This window comes from Homo sapiens, chromosome 6 (genome assembly GCF_000001405.40).
Source record: "Homo sapiens chromosome 6, GRCh38.p14 Primary Assembly".
Classification (NCBI taxonomy): domain Eukaryota; kingdom Metazoa; phylum Chordata; class Mammalia; order Primates; family Hominidae; genus Homo; species Homo sapiens.
The window spans coordinates 29,422,993-29,441,162 of record NC_000006.12 but is presented as its reverse complement, the minus strand read 5'-3'; the positions used below and the strand labels follow the sequence as shown (position 1 = coordinate 29,441,162).

Genomic DNA, 18,170 nt, shown 5'->3' with positions numbered 1-18,170 from the left:
TCTTGCAACAGAAAGCGGAATAGAATATGTATGTGTTGTGAGGGTCTGAGGAGCGCATTTGACTACGGTAGCTTTTCAAAGATAAGTTTGTCTTTCTGACAGGCTGGCCCTCCCCTAATGTGAAGAAAGACCTTAAGGGAGACTCTTTGATCCTTAGGTATTTGGGACTGACTCAGAGCACTGCACAGAAGTCACTATCGCCCCCTTTTCAAATCTCCATAGGCACCGTTTTCTGGATGGTTCTCTTTAGGGCAGCTTTGACCTCTGTGTTCCGCAGGCTGTAGATGATGGGGTTGAGGATGGGGGTGACCACAGCATAGAAGAGGGACACCAGAGGGTCAGTGGCCGGATCGTAGCTGGCCTTAGGGCGAATATAGATAAAGAGTGCGGTGCCATAGAAGAGGGAGACCATGATCAGGTGGGAGGAGCAGGTGGAGAAGGCCTTGCGGCGGCCCGCAACAGATGGGATCCGGAAGATGGTAACGAGGATACGCCCGTAGGAGCCCAGGATGAGGCCAAAGGGGCAGAGGATGAGGAGGGCTGTTGCCAGGATAATCTGCAGTTCATTAAGCGAGGTGTCTCCACATACCAGCTGCAGGACAGGCTGGATCTCACAGAAGAACTGCGGGATGGTATTGGGGCCGCAGAAGGGCAAAGAGAAGATGAAAGGGGTGTGGCCCAGCCCCACCAGCACCCCACAGGCCCACGCCGACCCAGCTAGCTGTAGACACACCCGGTGGCTCAGCAGCAGTGGGTAGCGGAGGGGTTCACAGATGGCTGCATAGCGGTCATAGGCCATGGCTGCCAGGAGGCAGCACTCCGTGGCGCCAAAGAAGAGGAAGAAGAACATCTGGAGAGCACATCCAGAGCGAGAGATGTGGCGCCGGCCAGTAAGGAGGTGGTGAAGTAGCAGGGGGACCGTGACAGACGTATAGCCAATCTCCAAGGCCGAGAGGGTGCGCAGGAAGAAGTACATAGGGGACTGGAGGGCAGCATCAGTGGAGACCAGCACCACAATGAGGAAATTGCCTGCCACGGTCAGCAGGTAGATAGTGAGAAAGACAGAGAAGAGCAAGCCCTGGAGGTCGGCCAGGTGGGAGAAGCCGAGAAGAAGAAACTCAGTCACCATGGAGGTGTTTGCACTCATCCTGCCTGCATACCTTTGACTGGAAGACAAAAGAAATGGCAAGGAAAAATCACAACTATGGAATCGTGAAATGGGCAAAGATGACCTCTCTCTGCATCTGATCGCAGCACTAGATCTCCCTTTCTATTAGAATATCATGGACTTTGAAATTAGGCAGCCTTGCCTGGAGTCCATATTCCACCCTTGCTCACTCTTGGGATCCTGGATGAGTATTTGTCTCTCTGAGCCTGAATCCCTGACTTCATCTCTTCCTGATAGTGCCTATCATTCTAAAGAACATGTTAAACTGTCTTTCCAGTTTTACCTGGGCTGAAGATTAAGTCAGTCTAGCTCCCTTTTCACTCTTTTCTGATTTTCCAATTCTTCCTGCAGGGCTGGAGACAGAATTTTCCCTCATAGCAGATCTTTTTCTCCATCAACTTGTCTCCTGTCTGATAAGAGGTGACCTCTCTTATCACCTCTTGCCCTCTAGTTTTCTTTTTTCCAGCTCTTTCTTTAGTTACCAGATTCACTTAGTCTTTCTTCTTTTTCTGTCATTTTACCATAAATTTCACAGTGTTCAAGGAGGAGAAAAAAAATGAGAAAGATCCTCTCTTTTTAAGCTCCTATAGCATTAAACAGTTCAACTATTTAGAGGGGTGAGCATTTCTCTAGTTTTAAAACATGCTCAGGCAAAAGATGACAAGAACTTCCTTAATTGCTTATTTCTGCATCTTACAGACTTTCAAACTTAGTCCTCTTACATTGTAAACATGAAAATCCCCAAACTACACACATAAACTCCACAAATTCACACACTGTCAAATTATATTTCAAAATACAGGCACAGAAGAATAGCCTAATATTCCCAGATGCCAGATTTATCTAAAGTTGCAAATCATGTATTCTATTGGCATTATTACAGATAACAGTAAAAGTCTAAATACACTGAACATAAAACTATAAACACCCAAAGATACACTTGAATATATACACAAATTCAATATTCCAGCCATATTCAAGGTTGTGTATTAGAAATACAAGTCCACACACTGATATCCTTTTGCAGTTGAAGAGCCCTTGGTTCATTCTCCTCTGGGGGCTCTTTCAGTGTTTTCCAGAAGATATTATCTCAAAGGTGTCTTTCTATTTTCTATTTGGAGAAATAACCAGTGAAGGCAGATGGCATTTGTGACTTGCTTATCTTCTTTTTTATCTACATAGTGGATCCCTCTTGAGGAAGCCTCTCTTAGGTTTGTTGTCTCTCTTTAAGCTCTCTGAGGATCTGAGTCTCCAAGCATTCTTGGCTTTCCAATGGGGAGAATGCTTCACAAAACCAATTAATCTGTTATTTTGAATCTGTTTCTTAGATTGCAAGAAATACAGAATGACCTGTTAAGAACATTTCAAAGAATATATCCAGAGCTATTGGTTTCTCTTAGTTCTCCCATATCTCTGGTTCAACCATTTTAATTTTCTTCTTTTTTCTCATGATTTTTTCCCATCACTGTAGATGTTCTAGTACATCTACAAAAAGTAATAATGCAATTTTACCCTTCTTATGTATATTGATATAATCCAGTAATCAATTTATTTGATAACTATTTATAGGGTCCCTTGCAGGTTTTATTGATTCTACAGGTAACTAATAATATAAAAGAGAAATAAACATGTTTTGACCTAATTGAGGTGCTAAATGTCATTTTCTTATACAATTGTCACTAATTTTTCTTGCTTTGATTTCTTTTTCATTTATTATACAAATCTTTCTTTGCATTTTTATCATTGGTATCTATTATTTGATTTGTTTCTTCTGTGTTTTTATACATTTTCATAGATGTGATAAAAGCTGTGTGTCAAATAGAATGTTTTCAAGACATACCAACCATTATAACAAGCCCCAACTCCAACGGGTTTAAGTAATAAATTTACTTATTAATTTATATAACTAGAAGTTCAGGGTTTACATAAACTGGATTTCGTACTTAGTTTTCTTCTGACTCCTTTATATTTTATCATTTCATTTATTTATTAGATTTGGCTGAAAGTAATGGAAATGCCAATGGCTCAAAGAGAATGAAAATTTATCTCTCACTTAAATGTCTAAAGATTTGTAGTTCAGGGAAATATGGCTGCTCTGATCCAGAATTCCTCAGGAATCTGTTTTCTCTCAGCTCATCAGTCATCTACTCCCAGAGTGTAGCCCTGTTATGGCTGAAGATGATGCCATTAATGTTACAGGGAACAGAATGGAGTAGAATAATTTGGATTGCTATTTGTCCACTCTTAGTGTAACCTATGTAGTATTATTGCTAAAAATGTTTAATTGGAGTATAAGAAAACAGTCAGACAAATCCATATTGTGGCATATTCTATAGACAACTGACACAAACTCTTAAAAAATATCCATGTCTTTAAAGACAAAGCAAAGATGGGAGATGACATCGTTCCAGATTGAAGAAGACCAAAAGCCATGGCAATAAAATGTCATTCATGATTTTTGACTGGATCCTACGTCATCAACAAAACAAAATAAAAACAACTATAAAAAAGATTTGGAACAAGTGGGAAAGTTGAATATGGGTTTTATATTATTGGTTCAATGTTAATTCCCTTGGGTGTAATAATAGTATTGTGGTTATGCTGGAGAATATTCTTGTCATTAGAAAGATGCAGAATGGCTGCATAGTATTCCATGGTGTGTATGTGCCACATTTTCTTAATCCAGTCTATCATTGTTGGACATTTGTGTTGGTTCCAAGTCTTTGCTATTGTGAATAGTGCCACAATAAACATACATGTGCATGTGTCTTTATAGCAGCATGATTTATAATCCTTTGGGTATATACCCAGTAATGGGATTGCTGGGTCAAATGGTATTTCTAGTTCTAGATCCCTGAGGAATCGCCACACTGACTTCCACAATGGTTGAACTAGTTTACAGTCCCACCAACAGCGTAAAAGTGTTCCTATTTCTCCACATCCTCTCCAGCACCTGTCGTTTCCTGACTTTTTAATGATCGGCATTCTAGCTGGTGTGAGATGGTATCTCATTGTGCTGGCGCTTTTCGAAAGCAGCCGCTGCGGCCGCCCAACGCCAAGAACGCTTCGCGAGCAGCGCCATCTTGAGCGAGGAAAGAGGAACCGAGAGAAGAGGATTGCGGGCCACTGGCCGACTGAATTCCGTATTTTATCTTTTCTTATTGCATTTTCAGAACTGAAGATACAGCTGACAGAGCACTGAACTAGGCCAGGGTTTTAATGCTGGCTCTATGACTAACCTATTCTATAACTTTGTACAATTCACTTCATTTTAATGAGACTCATATTTCTCATCTTTAAAATGCAGACACAGCTGATTCTTATTATTCACTGCAGTTGCATTCTATAAAGTTGCCTTGAACCCTGTAGGAGCAAATATTAAATAATTCCTTGCTTTAGGGGAGATGCAGGGTTAGATTCCTATGAGTTTTTGGTCACATTTTTGTCACCTGATCAATAAATAACCTTATTGTAAGTGTGTTTCTGTTTAAACACATCTTATATAATATATATCGTTGATCATTAACGTTGAACCCACAGCCAACAGCCCTATAACACATGCCTGAACAGAGCTTATCTAGCAAATGCATTTTCTCCGTAAGATCCATTGCAACATTTTTGTGCTCAGGAGCATGGGACAGCACTTCAGCGCTACATTTGGGGCTATTTTGAATTATGAAATCACCAAAAAACAAACAAAAAATGTGAAAAATATGGCATTCAGCAAATCAGGAAATCATGAAAAGGACACTTGTTTACAGTATAATAGCTGAAACAAGAGGACAGAGCGTTTCCTTGCTCAGCATCAGGTGGGGATGCATACAGTGTGTCTCAAACTTTTTGTCACTGTGTTCATGCACTTGTCCATGAACGACTGCGAAGGTGCTGTGAGTATTGAGCTAGGGGTTAAAAATAGATGTTAGGGAGCAGGTGACTTTGCAAATACTGAATCCACAAATAATGAAGGTCAACTCTATTGCTAGTCATGTCTACTGGTGGAATGTTTGGAACTTTCTTTTCAACCGGACATTGTGTTAATATATTTTTAGAAGGCCAGGGATTATGAATCAAGTGACCATTTTTATTTTTTCATTCATGCATTCATGCATTGCTACTTATTCACTAATCATTTATGACACAGCTAAAATATTCTTGGGATACAAAGATGAATAGGATACACCATCTGCCCTGGATAATATTTACTTCTAATTCGTAGTCTAGTGAAGAAGAAATCTAAATGGTAAGACTATGTAAATCTCTAACAGAAACCACAAAGAGCTATAATTTGTTTTTGTAAAATCCTGCTGGGTTGAATACTATCTCTTTTGTATTAAAATATATTGTTAATCCTCAAGAAGTTTTCAAAGATAAGAGATTGAACAATATTTTGGGTTAGGTCCATGATGTACTGTTATTAAAGTTTCTATGGATTCAGATTGCCTTGGATGCCTAGGCTGGAGTCTAAGGAACAAATAATCAGAAAACATCACTGAGCTCGAGCTTATGAAATATTTTAGTAACATGGGAGACTCATGGAAATGTGTGGTTTCTTTTCCAACTGGAATTACTGATACAAAATAGGATATATATGTGACCAAAGCCAAACAACATAAATGGTTGTCAAACTTGAGCTTGAAGTTAGCCCCCGTGAAGCATCCCATAGTCACTTCTGAGAGTTTGCAAGATGTGTTCAGGAATGTCTCCTCTGGTCCTTCCTCTCTTGTGTCTTTTCTGTGCCTTCAAGCTGCTGCTCTGTGAGAGCTGACTGACTCTTTTTATTTTGTCATCCTTTGCAGTGGTTGACATTGCTTTCTCCACCCTGGCTGTGGGAACAGCAACCACTGTCCCCTGTACCTGCTTTTTCTAAGCAAGGCCACAGGCCCTCTTAGAATTCTCCTAGTACAACATATATCAAGTTGTAGCTTATAGAATAATTTACTGTAGTTCTAACTTAGTGGAAAGTAAATGTAGTGCAGAGAATTATATGCTGTTATACTGATCCACACACACTTGAATTCCACTAGGTAATTTATGTGGCCAAGGGTATATTTCATTTCATTTGGAACTACTTATAATCTTTTCACGTCTTGCAGTTTAGGCCAAATTGACCCCAGGACACAAGGGAAGGTAGAAATGTATTTTTCATGCTAATATATCACCTACTTTTGGAGACTTCATTTATACCCCAGGATTAACCTCTCACCAGGGTGATTAACAATACAAACATCTACTCCCCACAGATCCTTGTCTTTATCCATGGGACTGTGGTCTGAACTGATGACCTTAAAAAGTCCATAAAATGTATTTTGACAAAAAGTTTGCTAAAATATCTGTAAGAATTAAGATTAGTCAGACTTTCCCATCTTAAACTTGAATTATCTCTGAAGTTGTGTTTCTCTATCAAACCAAATTTAACAGTATACTAAAAGGATCTTTCACCATGATCAAGTGAGATTTAGCTCTGAGATGCAAGGATGGTTCAACACACAAATCAATAAATGTGATACATAACATTAACAGAATTAAAGATAAAACCATATGATCATATAAACAGAACATGAAACGGTGAAAGAAAAGTCTTTTTAATAAATGATGTTGGAAAACTGAATATCCACATGCAGAAGAATGAAATTGGATCCTTATGACACTCAATATATGAGAATTAACTCAAAATGGATTAATGACTTAAACATATGACTGCAAACTGTAAAACTATTAGAAGAAAATATAGGAGAAAAGTTCCATGACGTTGGTATGGGCAAGATTTCTTGTATATGATCCTCAAATCACAGACAGCAAAACCAAAAGTAAACAAATGGGATTGCATCAAATTAAAACATTTCTCCGCAGCAAAGGAAACAATAGAGTGAAAAGACAACCCACAGGTTGAGAGAAAATATTTGTAAATGATACATGTAAGTGGCTAAAATTCAAGCTATATAAGGAACTTAAACAAATCAATAACAAGGAAACAAATAACTCAATTTTAAAATGAGCTAAGCACCTGAATAGACATTTCTCAAAAGAAGACGTACAAATGACAAACAGGTACAAGAAAAAATGCTCAACATCACTAGTCATCAGGGAAATACAAATTAAATTCACAATAAGATATCACCTCACACTTGTTAGAATGCCTACTACAGAAAAGATAAGAGATAAATGTTGATGAAAATGTGGAAAAGGAGAACTCATACACTTTTGGTGGAAGCGTAAATTAGTACAGTCATTAAATACACTGTGGAGGTTTCTGAAAAATTCTGAAAAAATTAAAAATAGAACCGTTGTATGACCCAGCAATCCCTTGTCTGTGTATATATTCAAAGGAAATAAGAAGAGAGATCTACACTTTCATATTCATTGTAGTATTATTCACAATAGCCAAGATGTGGAATAAACCTAAGCATCCCTCAGCAGATGAATGGATAGAGAAAATGTGGTATATATGCATAGTGGAATACTATTCAGCCTTAAAGAAGAAGGAAATTCTGTTGTTTGCAACAACATGGATGAATCTGGAGGACCTTATATTAACTGAAATAAGTCAGGCACAGAAGGACAAATACCTCATGGTCTCCCTTCTACATGAAATCTACAAAGTCAAACTCACAGAAACAGAGAATAGAATGGTGGTTACCAGGGGCTGGAAGAAAGGGAGAAAATTGAGAAGATATTGGTCAAAGGTTACAAAAATTACAGTTAGACAAGAGAGATAATTCAAGAGATCTATTATATGAAAGGGTGACTATAATTAATGAATTGTATATGTGAAAATTGCTAAAAGAGTAGATCTGAGTGTTCTCATCACAAAAACATGATAAGTATGTGAGGTAATGGTTCATGTAAATTAGCTTGATTTTGTCATTCCATGATGTATACATATGTCAAAACATCATGTTATACATCATAAATATATACAATTTTAATTTGTCAATTAAAAATCATAATAATGTAGGCTAACTAAAAAATGCTACATTTTTCCAAAAGTTTTCTTTTCAAGACACATATACTTACCTTTTAGCATATGCTGCTGTTTGATGAAAAAAATAAACGATTAAGAGAACCCCTCCTGCTGCCAAGAAAAAATAGGGTGGCATTTACTGTGAACTACAGATAGTAGACAACGTAGTTCAGAGAAAAAGTGTTCTCGGTTGGTCAGGGAGAAAGTGGAGCTGAAGTTAGGGTCTGAGTTTGATAAATGACACAGAAGTGCCTTCAACACACTCCTAGGGATGAGAAATAAATATATCAGCCTGATTTCTGTGGAAGCTTCAAAAAAGGGAGTAGTGGCAGACAAAGTTGTTGGGCAGTAATTTGGTCAGGAAGGATATTGAAACGCTACATAACCATTTCAACGTCATTTTGTAACATCACGCCACCTTCCTTCTCCTTAAATCAGGCTCAGCATTGGCAAGATTTTGATGATCTATATAAAACACCCCTACTAAGGGTGGTACCTATTGAAACAATTGCCTGGGATGGTAAGAGGGCGATTTGGAGGCTGTAGATTGGAGAATGAAAGTTGAGGGCAGGCTCCTGGGAGGACCACTGTTGGTAATGGGGAATTTAGGGATGTTGCAGAGAAATCAGAATTTTCTGGTGAGTTATGGAGACTAGGAATTGGGGCTTTAGATGTTTGGTGAAATGGAGAGCATTTGTCCCCAAGGGGATGGAAAGGTGGGCTCCATTTGGCTCTTTTGGTTTCTGCTCCGTTTATGGTCAAGCCAACAGTTCAGGAAACCGCCTTTGAAAAAATACAATTTCCTTAGGGGCCTGCTATGTCTTGCTCATTTCAGGCTGCTCTCCAGTAAATCTGTAATTGGTTCTCAGGGGCCTCTCCCTTTGTGGCAATTTCCTGCCCTCCCATGTGATAGAGGGAAAGGACTGCGATGAAAGGACAGAATAGCCTGAGAGCTAGAAAAGGGGATGGAGGGTGGAAGAGAAAATGGCTCAGGAGTGGAGGGTAACAAGGGTGACATTTGTAATCAATGTTCTACGTTACTTCAGGTTGAGCTCAAGCAGGGAGGGAGCTGAAGGTAGGAAATTCCAACATTCTGAAGTCTTCAGCAAATCTTAGCAGATCATCTCCTCCTCACAGTCCTGTCTTTAGAGAACAGGGTCGATATTTCGGGTACGTTTATTTTTGTAAAATTCTTTACAGCTTAGTTCACAGATTCTTTAAAAAAGTTAAATGGCTGGTTTTTATAGCTGTTTATCCTGTAATCACTAGCAACTTTCAATTAACCCAGAGAGTCAAAAAGTCTTTTATTAAAAATCATTTCAAGAAGTCCCGCAGTATTTCTCTAGAATACCAGTGCTGCTCTTTTCTCCATTGGATGTTTTTAAAAGTTGATTTCTAATCCTTCTGGGTGCATACTGACTTATTTTTTTAATTCTCTCTTCTCTTTTGGAGATGGGGAACAGTAGATATTCATGCTCCCCAAGCTTCAGTTGATATGTTACAGAGTAGGAAGAAGCGAGACACCCTCATACTAATGTTTTCATGGTGGAAAGTTTTCCTCCTGCTATCCCATGGCTTGACAAAACTGGGATATACTTAAAATTATACTGTTTTCTTTTAAAACCTTTTAAGTATATTTTAATGTTTTATTATGGAGTAATTACTGAAGAGACTTGAGGAGAATTAACAGATTAAAAAAATCAAACTGAATTAACTTTTTGGTTTTCTGCTTACAAACATAACATGTTTGTTTAGCAGACATTTCAAAATATGAGAATAAATTTTTTTCTAATACCTAAAGATGAATTAAAATGTACAGTTTTGTATATATTTTTTAAAATATTTTTTCCTGGAATATTCTTTGAATTGCTCATTTTAATTAAGGACTCTATGCTATCTCAGAGTCTGGGTTGAATGAGGGTTATGGTTTTTACTTAGAATTGAGTGTGTGGCTGATTGTTCGTTAGACAACAAACAGGCATTTTGCACTATTCTTACTTCTCTACCAGTCAGTATGGTGAAATTCCTGTTGATTTCAAACTCTTCCTGCAGTTTTTTGAGTTTTCCAATTCCAAATTCAGCTCTATTCCTTGGAGTTTTCAACTCTAAATTCATCAACTTCCTCTATTCCCTGATTCCCCTCTGTCTTTAAGGGAATAACAGCCTCTCATATATCCTACTGTTTCTGTGTTTTTCCCATTTCTTTTCTTTTCATATCTACTTTTACAGATTTAGGGGTACAAGTGCAGTTTTGTTACATGAATATATTGTGTAGCGATTGAGTCTGGGCTTTTAGTGTAACCATCACACAGATAGTGTGCATTATACCCATTAGGTAATTTCTCATCCCTCACCCCTTCCCACCTCACCTTTCCAAGTCTCCAATGTCTATTATTCTGAATTCTGTGTTCATGTGCACACATTATTTAGCTCCCACTTATAAATGAGAATATGCAATATTTGACTTTCTGTTTCTGAGATATTTCACTTAAAATAATAGCCTCCAGCTCCAATGATACTCTTGATTTCCAGGGGAGGTAGTGGTCATGAGCTATTTATTATTAGAGGTATTCTTGCCTGATTTACATGCTCACCTCTCTCCTGGCAGGAATCCTATAGAAAGACTCCAAGCCTCAGAATGAGTTTGGACCAGATAAAATAATCTAGAGTTAAAGATGGCCCACATAGGGAGTGCCAGATTCACTCACAAGGAAATGCAGATGGGATCAAAGGGTAAGAGAATAGCTTTAGAGACGGGAGTTGGAGGGCAATAACAGAACCTGTGGAATTTTGTAGTCTATGAAGAACAGCATTCTTCTCTGATCAATTCATATGGGTTTAGGTTAAGGAAGACATGGTGTTAAACATTAAGTATTCATTGAGAATATATCTTTTTGTAAGACTTCGGTACAGTAGCACTTATAAAAATTTAAATCCTGTGCTAAATGAACTTTTAGTCTTTTGGAAAAGAGAAAGTGCATACCATAAGATAATTAATGATGAACTCAAGGCAGCATGTATTTGCACATCAGGTATCAGATGAGTGGGGCCATCCCTTCTTTCACTCTTGTTACCTTGGATGTAGCTTCCATAATACTATTTAAATTTAGGTTGAAACATGCCACTGTACTGTTTAAAAGCCTTCAGCTGTGCCTTGCTGCCTATAGAATGAAGCTCTAGTTCCTTCTTGTGACAAGCAAGGGTCCCCAGACTCTGATCCTGGCCCCTTTCTCTCCCTGTCTTCCCCCATTCTTCACCTCAATCCTAATTCTCCTTCAGAATCGAGGGGATTGTTTGAGCTACCCTTGGCTACTTACCCCCTGCTACCTCTTTCTCCTCCTCACATCCAATGTTGTTTCTTGCCTCAGTGTGTACTCATGGTTTTCCTTTTACCTAAAATGCCCTCACCTCCATTCTTTCCATTTTCCACTGCAATCACTCATCAGTTCAGCATCACTTCCTCCTAGTACTATTTCTTTCAGGTTGAATTCATTAACTGTCTTTTGGCGTATTGCAATTTTCTGTTGATATGTCCATCTGTCACACAAGAGTGTAAACTCCTTAAGAGTATGGACCAGTTTTGTTTGGCCCACTATCCTCAGAAACAGATGTAATATCTTCTATACACTAGATCCTTAGTACATGATTGGGAGAGAAATAAAGGGCTCTATTAGTCAAGGGGGATTCTTGGTAGAGATAAGTTCTTAAGCTGGGTCTTCGAGGATTTAACGTTAGCAATGAGCAGAGGTATGGAAAATGGGATTCCATTCAAAAGGCAGATTTGGTCTTAGGCAAAACTACAAAACAGTGTGCCGTGAAGGCTCCCAGCACTGTGGTCCCTGAGGCATCCAGTTTTTCACCTCTTAGGAAACTGATGTTCTAGACTATTTGTATTAAAGATAACTTACATTTTTTGTGATAATAAATATAATGTATATTTATTAATCCCATATTCTAGAAAGTAACACTGTTAGTATTATGTATTTATATTTATTTATATGATATCTGCTTTTTTTCTCTACCTTTCTCAACTGTTTCTAATCATTCCCTGTATTCTCTCTCATTGTCTTCAGTTAATAAACACATATTGCTTTGAATAGCATATGAAAACCTTCCAGCAGGTATGACAGAGCCATTTTCAGATATTTAGAAGTGTCATGCTCAATTACAACTCTTTGCTTTTGCATATGCTTTCCTGCCAGGGATGCCCTGCCTGGTCTGGTTTCCTGTCTTTTGCCTGGCCAACTCTTTTTTTTTTTTTTTTTTTTTTTTTTTTTGAGATGGAGTTTCGTTCTATTGCCCAGGCTGGGGTGCAGTGGCGCGATATCGGCTTACTGCAAGCTCCGCCTCCTGAGTTCACGCCATTCTTCTGCCTCGGCATCCCGAGTAGCTGGGACTACAGGCGCCCGCCACCACGCCCGGCTAATTTTTTTTGTATTTTTAGTAGAGACGGAGTTTCACTGTGTTAGTCAGGATGGTCTCGATCTCCTGACCTCGTGATCCACCCGCCTCAGCCTCCCAAAGTGCTGGGATTACAGGCGTGAGCCACCAAGCCCGGCCTCCTGGCCAACTCTTAATTGGCCCTCAAAACTTAGCCTACTTGCTTCTATCTTCAGAAAGCCTTCCCCGACCTTGATCCCACACCTTCTGCCCCACAACCCCAGGCTGGGTTTGGTCCTTCTCTGCTCCCATGGCACCTACTTCCTTCCCTATTACCATTTACCACATTTTCACTACCAACTCCTGAATGACTTGATGAAACTACTATTTAAGGAAGGCAATAAGTGAAGAATATATAAGAATTATCCGAGGAACAGTTGGTAAGGTATCACTGATTAGGAGATGGGGAATGAAAGGGGCGGTTGAGATAATGAGAAGAATGAGATAGTGACCATGGGGATTAGACAGAATTCTCAAACCACTCATAGAGGAATTGGTTGTGATTGAGAAAGATAGAAGAGTTTGCAGTTGTGGGCCATGTCTATATAGCACACATTTGGAGAATATTATACTGGTGCACAAGAAGGAGGCTATGGCTGACTATACAGATAAGAATGATAGAGGTGATTATGCGAAAGAGGTAGTAGATTGAATTAATGGGGTAAAGGTCTTTGAAAGACTAAAATTATGAGTTTGGATAAACTCTTCTGAGCGTTAAAGAATATGCACAATTAAGGAAGGCAGGGAAGGATGAGAGTTGAGGAAGGAATGACAACTAAGAAGGGGGATAGTTGAAGACTTGCGTGAGCGAGTCTTGTTTTAGAGACTCATTTTTGTCTTTTTTGTTTTGTTTTGTTTTAGCTCTAATAACGTTAGGCTTGGTATAGAAGATGCAGAGACATGCTAAAATTTCTCCCCCAATTATTGCCAAGCAGAAACTTGGACGATCGACATGGAAATTGTCTCCACAGGAAACGAAACTATTACTGAATTTGTCCTCCTTGGCTTCTATGACATCCCTGAACTGCATTTCTTGTTTTTTATTGTATTCACTGCTGTCTATGTCTTCATCATCATAGGGAATATGCTGATTATTGTAGCAGTGGTTAGCTCCCAGAGGCTCCACAAACCCATGTATATTTTCTTGGCGAATCTGTCCTTCCTGGATATTCTCTACACCTCCGCAGTGATGCCAAAAATGCTGGAGGGCTTCCTGCAAGAAGCAACTATCTCTGTGGCTGGTTGCTTGCTCCAGTTCTTTATCTTCGGCTCTCTAGCCACAGCTGAATGCTTACTGCTGGCTGTCATGGCATATGACCGCTACCTGGCAATTTGCTACCCACTCCACTACCCACTCCTGATGGGGCCCAGACGGTACATGGGGCTGGTGGTCACAACCTGGCTCTCTGGATTTGTGGTAGATGGACTGGTTGTGGCCCTGGTGGCCCAGCTGAGGTTCTGTGGCCCCAACCACATTGACCAGTTTTACTGTGACTTTATGCTTTTCGTGGGCCTGGCTTGCTCGGATCCCAGAGTGGCTCAGGTGACAACTCTCATTCTGTCTGTGTTCTGCCTCACTATTCCTTTTGGACTGATTCTGACATCTTATGCCAGAATTGTGGTGGCAGTGCTGAGAGTTCCTGCTGGGGCAAGCAGGAGAAGGGCTTTCTCCACATGCTCCTCCCACCTAGCTGTAGTGACCACATTCTATGGAACGCTCATGATCTTTTATGTTGCACCCTCTGCTGTCCATTCCCAGCTCCTCTCCAAGGTCTTCTCCCTGCTCTACACTGTGGTCACCCCTCTCTTCAATCCTGTGATCTATACCATGAGGAACAAGGAGGTGCATCAGGCACTTCGGAAGATTCTCTGTATCAAACAAACTGAAACACTTGATTGAAGGAGAGTAATGAAGATGTTATTTTGGACTTCGGACACCTCCACTGGGGACTCTTCCAGGATGGGTTGGAGAGGAGTAACTTTGTCTTATTCGACCATTCTCTTTGAACTCTTCTGCAGTTATACTAAAAATGAAAATGATAGGGCAACAATTTTTTAACTTTTATTTTAAGTTCAAGGGTACATGTGCAGGTTTGTTACATAGGTAAACTTGTGTCATGGGGGTTTACTGTACAGATTATTTCATCACCCAGGTATTAAGCCTAGTACTCATTAATCATTTTTCCTGATCTTCTCCCTCCTCCCAACCTCCACCCTCAAGTAGGATTCAGTGTGTTGTTCCCCTCTATGTATCCATATGTTTTCATAATTTAGCTCCCACTTATGAGTGAAGACATACGGTATTTGATTTTCTGTTCCTGTGTTAGTTTGCGAAGGATAGTAGCCTCCAATTCCATCCATGTCAAATAATCAAAATTATTTAAACTTTGATTAGTTCTTTATTAAATATGTCATAAATATTTAAAAATAATACAGCAATACCAAAATAAACCTAGAAATATTGTTTTTTATATTATTGTTGTATGACATTTAAAAATTTCTTTCTATGTGTATTTATATTTATACATACAAGTTGGATCATGGAGTTTGTAATCTGGTTTTCCACTGAACACTGTGTCACGAACAACTTTTTCTATTAACAAGCATCTATTTCTTTATTCTTCTGGGCTTCATCGTATGGCTAAACATGATTTGTTATTCTATTTTGGGAATTTTTAGTTGTATTCTATTCTTTTACTGTACATTGTTTACATCTGGATTTTCCTGTAATAAACTTTTAGCACCTAAATTGCAAGATCTAAGGATATGTGTTTTTAAAAATCTAAAGCTGAATTCCTTTTCTTTTAAACTTCTTTTCTTGTAGAACATTTCAAACATACATAAAAGAGAAGAGCACAGTGAACCCCCATGTACTCCATGTAGCCACCATCCAGCTTCAACATCAACATTTTGCTAATCTTATTTTAATTAGCTACAGCTCCTTGTTTGTTAGTTTTCATGGAAAATTTTAGGGCAAATTCCAGATGTTGTATAACTATTATGTTGTGTAAGTTATGTATGTACATATTCCACATATGTATTTAGTATAATCTGTGACTAATAAAGACATTTTAAAAAACCATGCCCACAATACCATTATGATACTTAGCACAATTATCAGTATTTCCTTTATATCATCTAATACACAAGCCATGTTCAAATTTCTCCATTGATCTTTAAGTAATTTCTTAAAATTAGGATCTAAACAAGGTTCACACAATGTATTTTGTTATTGTCTTTCCAGTCCCTTTATAACATAGCAGACCCCACTTTTTTGTCATGCCATTGACTTAAGTTGCTATGTTATTTTTATTGCATCATATCCTGAGACACATGATATTTAGTTGTCCCACTCTTAGAGATGCTATTTATATTATTGTCCAGTGAGTTGAGGTGGTATCAGTCAGATCTATCAATTACTCAGTTTCTAATTAACGTTTTCCCTAATACTTTAATCATCCATTGTGGAAAGGTGATGATTAACTTTTATTCCAAATGTTTTTATGTTCCTTTTTCAATTCCAAAATTCACCATTTTAATAAATGGCTCTCTAGTACATTATATATCAGTCAGCCAGGAATCACACTTAGCTATTAGAAACTGTCAATACAAAGTTTTAAAAGTAAAAATTGTCATGTAAGTAAAAGTTAATTTTTCTCTCAAGTAAAAGAAGTCTGGAGGTAAGTAGTACAGAGAGGATGTGGTTGGTTCCCAGGGTTATATAGACCAGAGCTCTGTTTACTTAGTGTATATGTCAGGAGAACAGCGTGGGGGAAAGTTCCCCCATGATGAAATCACTTCCCTCCAGGTCCCTCCCTTGACATGGGAGATTACAATTGAGATGAGATTTGTGTGGGGACATAAAACGAAACCATATCAGGCTCTATTCTGTGTGTCTGTGTGCATATGTAACTAAAATCAGGAGTGAGTAATTGAGAGAAGTGAATTTTCTTGGTGTGGTTTCAGTTGCAAACAACATAAGCTACCCTGGCTAATTTAAGCTGCTGTTTTTTCTTATATAATATTTGATAGCTCACACACTATCCTGTAGGTAAAGAGAGTCAGACTCTGAATTATTCTGCCAGGAATGAGATGCAGAAACACAGAGGGTCTCTTGTTGGCGTAAATATCACTGCCATCATTACTCAACCCTAGAGTACTTCTAGATCCATCACTGATGCTCCAGAAGGACCAGATTCCTCTGTTTCATGCAGAGAAGACTGAATTCCACATGCATAGTCTTGCTGATTGGTAGGACCTAATTTCCATGGTTGTTACCAGCTGTTAAGGAATCTAGGAAATGATCACAATGTAGTGGGGGTGTTCACAGATGTAAAAGCACTATAATGAATGTCTACTCTTGGCACAGTGCGAAAGGATAATGTTAGGTACTAATTTTTTTTTCTTTTGACATTTTAAAATACAAACATTTCAAGCATATACTAAATACAAAAATTTCCTTTGTCCACTTTTTAATGGGGTTATTTATTTGTTTTTCTTGTTGAGTTGTTTAAGTTCCTTGTAAGTTCTGGATACCAGTCCCGTATTAGGTGCATAATTTGCAAATATGTTTTCCCATTCTGTAGGTTGTTTGTTTACTCTGTTGATTATTCCCTTCACTGTGCAGAAGCCTTTTAGTTTAATTAAGTTCTGTTTGTCTATTTTTATTTTTGTTGCATTTGCTTTTGAGGTCTTAGTCACAAATTCTTTGCCTAGGCCAATGTTCAGAAGAGTTTTTCCTAGGTTTTCTTCTAAAATTTTTATAGTTTCAGGTCTTACATTTAAAAGAAGACATACAATCAGCCTACAAAACCTACAAACATATAAAAAAAGCTCAACATTGCTAGTCATCAGAGAAGTGCAAATTAAAACCACACTGAGATATCATCTCATACCAGTAATAGTAACTATTATTAAAAAGTCAAAAACAAGAGATGTTGGTGAGAATGCAGAGAAAAGGGAATGCTTATATACTGTTGATGAGAATATAAATTAGTACAACCTCTATGGAAAACAGTATGAAGATTTCTTAAAGGGCTAAAATTAGAACTACCCTTTGATTCAGCAATCCCAATACTAGATATCTACCCAAAGGAAAATAAATCATGGTACAAACAAGACACCTGCATGTGTATGTTAATTGCAGCACTTTTCACAAGAGCAAAGTTATGAAACCATCCTAAGCATATGAAAGCATACACACACACACACACACTTACATAAGCATACGTAATTAGATATTTTTTCTTTTATTTTACTTTCACTTATTTCTTCTTCAATGCTCTTCTGTTCTTAAAGGTGGATTGAAATGTCTCACTTGTATAATTTTATTACTCTCTAAAAAATTTATTTTATCACTTTTTACCAGGCAAGTCTATTGGCAATAAATTCCCTCAATTTTTGTTCCTCTGAGAAGGTTTATTTCTCATTCACTTTTGAAGGATAATTTCATGTAGTGCAGAATTCTAGATTGGTTTTTCTTCTATCAAAAATTTTAAATATTTCACTCTATTTTCTTCTAACTTTTGTAGCTTCTGCGAACTCAGATGTCATCTTTTCTTCCCTAAAGGTATGGTATTTTTTATCCTCTGGCTTCTTCAT

General features: G+C 38.2%; 2 protein-coding genes across 4 annotated transcripts in view, besides 1 other annotated feature; one reads left to right on the top strand and one right to left on the bottom strand.

The window, feature by feature from the left end:
• The window catches only part of OR11A1 (olfactory receptor family 11 subfamily A member 1), a 31,568-nt gene extending 15,909 nt beyond the window's left edge, over window positions 1–15,659 (top strand). The window contains exons 2-5 of one of the 3 annotated variants that reach the window (NM_001394828.1): window positions 9,176–9,299; window positions 10,738–10,862; window positions 12,203–12,250; window positions 13,431–15,659. In NM_001394828.1, the coding sequence (NP_001381757.1) occupies window positions 13,522–14,469 (948 nt within the window). In that variant the 5' untranslated portion in view covers window positions 9,176–9,299; window positions 10,738–10,862; window positions 12,203–12,250; window positions 13,431–13,521 and the 3' untranslated portion in view covers window positions 14,470–15,659. Of the gene's footprint in view, window positions 1–9,090; window positions 9,300–10,737; window positions 10,863–12,202; window positions 12,251–12,696; window positions 12,950–13,430 lie in introns of those variants that run through there. The other 2 variants (NM_013937.4, NM_001394829.1) reach the window with 2 other exon arrangements.
• On the bottom strand, window positions 186–1,857 carry OR10C1 (olfactory receptor family 10 subfamily C member 1). Its single transcript, NM_013941.4, has one exon. The coding sequence runs from the start codon at window positions 1,145–1,147 to the stop codon at window positions 209–211; it is 939 nt and encodes a 312-aa protein (NP_039229.3). The 5' UTR covers window positions 1,148–1,857; the 3' UTR covers window positions 186–208.
• Window positions 189–689: an enhancer, noted in NCBI's record as "H3K4me1 hESC enhancer chr6:29408251-29408751 (GRCh37/hg19 assembly coordinates)". NCBI's record gives its function as "activates a minimal SCP1, AML or CMV promoter by ChIP-STARR-seq in naive H9 embryonic stem cells {active_cell/tissue: H9 hESC(naive)}" and the evidence as "EXISTENCE:reporter gene assay evidence [ECO:0000049][PMID:30033119]".

Excerpts from the sequence above, each read along its gene's own strand:
- OR10C1 (NM_013941.4), bottom strand. The coding sequence starts at position 1,147 with ATGAGTGCAAACACCTCCATGGTGACTGAGTTTCTTCTTCTCGGCTTC.